This window comes from Homo sapiens, chromosome 4 (assembly GCF_000001405.40).
Source record: "Homo sapiens chromosome 4, GRCh38.p14 Primary Assembly".
NCBI classification, from domain to species: Eukaryota; Metazoa; Chordata; class Mammalia; order Primates; family Hominidae; genus Homo; species Homo sapiens.
This window is the reverse complement of record NC_000004.12, coordinates 81,915,672-81,920,902: the sequence shown is the minus strand read 5'-3', so window position 1 is coordinate 81,920,902 and position 5,231 is coordinate 81,915,672. Positions and strand designations below refer to the sequence as shown.

Here is a 5,231-nt window from a genome sequence, read left to right as displayed (position 1 = left end):
ATCATTTCCTAATTCAGCTAAAAATAGCAGAGGGATCATAAATGCGGACCCCTTTCTCGATGTGAGTACTATCACGGGTGGGGAAAATGCGTCGTATTTGCTGGGAGAGGCCACTTAAATTCTCTTTTGGTTTCCATTAAAATCCTGCATGCATTGTACTCAATCACAACTGCAGGCTTAGATGTCAGAACGCTCATTTTCATAAATAGGCTTGGAAAACATAATCACATTCAACCCTTGCTGTTTTGAACTCTGGAGTAACTTTAGAGAACACACTATTTTAATTAACACTTATTTATAAAAGTTAAGGTCAAAATTCCAGTTTGTTATAATTCAATTATAGAAGGAAATCAGGGATTTCTTTTATAAGGTTTTCTTCTGCTGCTCCTGCCTCTTTTGAGTATGTGTGTGTATGTGGGAGTCAAGGTTAGCCTTGTTAGTTAGGCTATTTTTATTTAAATATGTTGAAGTCTACAATAAAACATTACACAGACGTTCCCCAAGTTGCGGGCATGATGGCTTCAAGGTTACTTCGTGGAGCTGGAGCACTGGCTGCGAAGGCCCTGAGGGCCTGTGGTCCCAATGGGGTGGCCGTGGTGTGCTCCATGGCATCTGGAGGTGGTGTTCCTATTGATGATGAGCACACGACTGGATTGGAGATGGAGGTCATGATGGTTGCAGGGAAGGGACTGGACCTATACAGTATATGACCCCCAAAGGCAGCTTCAGGCACCAAGGAAGACCCTAATTTAGTTTCCTCCATCACCAACAAGAGTATAGTGGGCTGCATCTGTGAAGAGGACAACTGTGCTGTCATCTGGTTTTGGCTGCACAAAGGCGAGACCCAGCAGCAATGCCCTAGCTGTGGAACCCATTATAAGCTGCTGCCCCACTAGGTGGCCCACTGAGCCCATGCACTAAGTTACTCAAAATGTGCTGTAAAGTTTTTCTTTCCAACTAAGACTAGCTGTTGTATTGGCTGATATACCAGATCAGGCTGTATAACTTATCTGTGAATGCTTCTTGTATATGTGGTGCCAGTTACAACATAATAACTCCTCCTCTACCTTCCCCACTGCCAAGCTATTCTGCTCTCCTTTCCTTCTTGCCATTCATTAGTTCCAGAGAGCAATCTTGGGGTTCTTGGACACTAATGCCAGCTAAAGTCTGACTTAGGCAAATTTCTGACCTACTTACCTCTTCTCCATGACTTTCCTTCTTTCTTTTGAGGCAGTTATTCATGTAGAATAGTTTTCATTGCCTTATCTTTCCTTTCTTTTTGAATTTTTGCTCAATTTTTTGAGAAAAGCTAGTTTTTTCCCTTTTCATTTTCTCCCCATTTCTGCATTTTCCAAGCTAGGGGACAGGTGAAAATAGGCAATAGTCCATCTCTGGTGAGAGCTGGCCTGGGCCAGTGTGCCTGCCTCAGGGAGCCGTCTAATAGCCTTTTTAGTTCCCTTACTGCTCCTTACCACTAGGAGTCCTGAGTGACCCTATTCATAGCTGCTAAAGATCAGAGCAATGCTGGTGATGCACGTGAACTGAGAAAAGCAAAACCATCCACTTGGGAGGGAAGGGCGCGGCATCAGACACATTAGCTGTGAATACCATGTCTTGAAATTTCTTTAAAGGCCTCTTCAGAATTCCAGAATTTCTACCTTGGTCTTCATCTTCTTCAAATTAAATATACATTTTGTTTTACACTATTATTCAAGATATATGGAGAAAGTGAAACAGGTTCTTAATTGATTTTTATTATTTTCTGCTGTAATTGTCAGTAGTGTGGTAGTTTACTGCTTTTTATTGCAATTACATAGCATTCCAGTTATATTAGTGATTAAATAGGCCTTTATGGTGTAGCCTATAAAATTATCTCTATGGGGAAAGTAAACTCTAGTCTTTAACACCTAACTTATGAAAGAAATTTTTAGAAGTCCTCCAGATTGTAAATAGGAGACCCACTCCATAGCATGGAATGTGCAACACAGATGATCTTTATTAAGCCCACTCTCCATTCTGCCAAGACCCAAGAGCTCATTTAATGTCAAATGAAGAAGGCATTTCTTTATAATTGAATTGGCTTTTAATCCCCTATAGAAATTGAGGGCTTTTCCTTTAAGTCATGTTGACTGTCATGACTTTGAGTTGTATACAAAGGCCATATTCACGGATGTTTGTGGAATTTAATATGGTATAGAAGCCCAGCCAAATTTCTAAAAAATATAAATAAACACACACTTTGTATGCTTATTTTTTTTTTTAATTGGAGAGGTTAAAGAACTATTGTAGATCTGCTTTTGGGCTAGTGTGAATAATTTGCCAACATTTACCCTGTTTCAATTCTCCTAGCCCAAGTTACCACTGTCCTTGGCAGGTGAGTATTTCTCAAATCATTCTTTGTAGATCATATATCTATTTCAGTTCTCTGGGGTGCTGGTTAAAATGCACATTCCAGGGAGATATCCTACACCTACATCTTCTTACTTGGAATCTTTGGAGTTGGAGTTGGGAAAATGGAACGGTTAACAGCCCCCTAACTGATCTTTATGAACTCTAGAGTTTGAGAAGCATTGATCCAGACTTTCTTTCTCAGGATTTACATGGTTGACAATGAATGTGTTGATAATGGTCCATTTTGATTCAGGGCTTAGTTTTGCTGGACCTCCGTTTTCTGGATTTTTGACTTCTTCTTTGGAGTAGATTTGTATTAGTTTTCTAGGGCTTCCATAATAAAATACACAGGTCGGGTGGCTTAAATAACAGAAATTTATTTTCTCACAGTTCTGAGAGAGACTAGAAGTCCAAGATCAAGCTGTCAGCAGGGTTGGTTTCATCTGGAGGCCTCTCTCCTTGGCTTGTAGATGGATATCTTTGTCTTCACATGGTCTTTCCTCTGTGTATGTGTATTGTTTGTGTCTTAATCTCCTCTTCTTATAAGGATGCCAGTCATATTGGATTAGGGCCTGTCTATATGACCTCGTTTTACCTTATTTAGCTCGAAAGCCTCTATCTCCAAATACAATCACATTTCTAAGGTACTGGGGTTAGAATTTCAACATATAAATTTTAGTGGGAAATAATTGAGCTCATAACAGTCTAGATGGATTTCAAAACATGATATGAATAAGTGAAAGATGAACACTTGATTTCATCTCAAGTTTCTTTCCCCATCCTGGCTCTGTCCATTAGAAGGAAGTCTACTACTGATTGGTCTCTCTTGTCTAAGGCAGCAGAAGGGAAGTAGGGACAATGACAACTTGCTTTTCATTGGCCCTGTTCCTCATACGATCTATTTATTTGCTTTAGGCTCAACGGTTATAAATGACTAAGGGTGGCAATTCTCAAAGGGAATCTCAGAAGTAAAAACTCTTGTCATAATATTAAGAAGACATTCTTTGCCTTTTTGGGTGACATTTGCACTGATTGTGTAGAAGCAATGGTGGCTAAAACTGTTGGTGCTTTAGCATGACTTAATGCAGTAGCACCAAACTGTATAGTAATCTTTATAATTTCACCACTGTGCATTTGCACTGCAGGAAAAAAAATGCCTGTTTCACTTAAGAATGCCCTTGATGAAATACTAAAAACTATTAAGTTTGTTAAATCTTAACCCTCGAGTACACATTTCTTTAGTATTCTGTGTGATAAAATGGAAAGTATGCATACAGCACTTTTGCTCCATTCAAAGGTTCAGTGGCTGTTTTGAGGAAGAGCACTGTGCAGTTGAATTGTGAGCTGAACTAGTCTCTTTTTTCATAAAATACCATTTTATCTTAAAAGAACAAGAGATGAACTATGATTATTTAGATTCAGGTGGCTAGCAGACATGTTTGCAAAAATGAATGAAGTAAGTGTATTACTTCAAGGAAGCAACTGACAGTATTTGTTGCCTGTGATAAAATTCAAGCTTTCAAGAGAAAATTAGCATTTTAGAAATCTTCTATCTGTTACTATGAGCTTAATACCTTACAAGCAGTTGAAGATTTTTTTCGGTGAGGTTGGTTATTAACAAATGTGATTTTGGGGATATTATATAATGAAATGGGTCAACATTTGGGAATTCTGCATAACTCACTGAACCAATGTTTTCAAAATGACCAATGCAAGATGCTACAAAAGATCTATTCAAAGTGTAAGATAGACCAACACATTTTAATGTAACAGAGTATAAAATGTTCATGGTATGATTTCAGACTATACATTGCAACTAACCCTTAAGAAATTACCACTTGTCAAGTTTTGGCATATTATCAGAGAAGAATATCCACAATTTTCTGAAAGGATCATTACAAATACTCTTTCCTTTTCCAACCTCATATCTGAGTGAGGCTGGATTTTCTTCATTTATTGAAAGCAAAAACCTATCAAAATAGATGAAATCAAAAGCAGTTTTGAGAATCTAGCTATCTTCTTTTTAAGCTAAACATTAAATAAATTTGCAAAAATGTAAATGTCATCTCACTATTTTTTTCTGTTTTGGTGTATACATACAATGTGTTTGTTAACATGGAGTGAATTTATTCTTGCTATTTTAAGATGAATTAATAAATACATGTTTAAACATTTCTCAACTCCAATTTCTAATAAGGTGAATATTAGTAGATATAACCCATATAAACAAAAGCTTTTTGGGAACTTCAAACTTCAATACTTTTAAAAAGTATAAATGGACTTTGAGACGAAAAAGTTTGAGGACTGCTGACTTAGGAAGACATTTTTCTAGCTATGTTGCAGCAAATGATTTAGAGTTAACTTTGATTCATAGTATGTTTAAAGAAAAATATATTCACTATGTGAATACTAAATATAGTAAGCTTGACTTGCTTTTTTCTCATTGGGAGAAAAATCATAATAATATTCCATATCAAAATATTCTTATGCATGGCTTAATGCCTGGTTTACCTTTGCTAATCCCAGATCAGTTTAGATAATCATGAACAAACTGGAAGAAAAAAAAGCCCTATATAAGAACTAATGTTTTTGAGAGCTGTTTTCAATGTAATGAAAATTTATTTAAGTTAACAGATTAAAATCTTCCCTACAGAAACGCACTTGGAAATCTTCCCATAAGCATGTTCTTTTCTTCATTCTGCCTGTTTTGTTGCGTTCCAATTTAGAGGACATTTGTTTCCTTCCTTTCCTTCTCTTTTTTCTTTCTTGCCTCTCGTTTCACTCATTTTCTTCCTTCTTTCCCTTTCCTTTATTAGAGCTGCAGGCATTTCTTCATGTGC

The 5,231-nt window shown here is 37.0% G+C and overlaps 1 pseudogene; it reads left to right on the top strand.

Annotated features, from left to right (window-relative positions):
• On the top strand, positions 503-1,022 carry COX5BP1 (cytochrome c oxidase subunit 5B pseudogene 1; annotated as a pseudogene).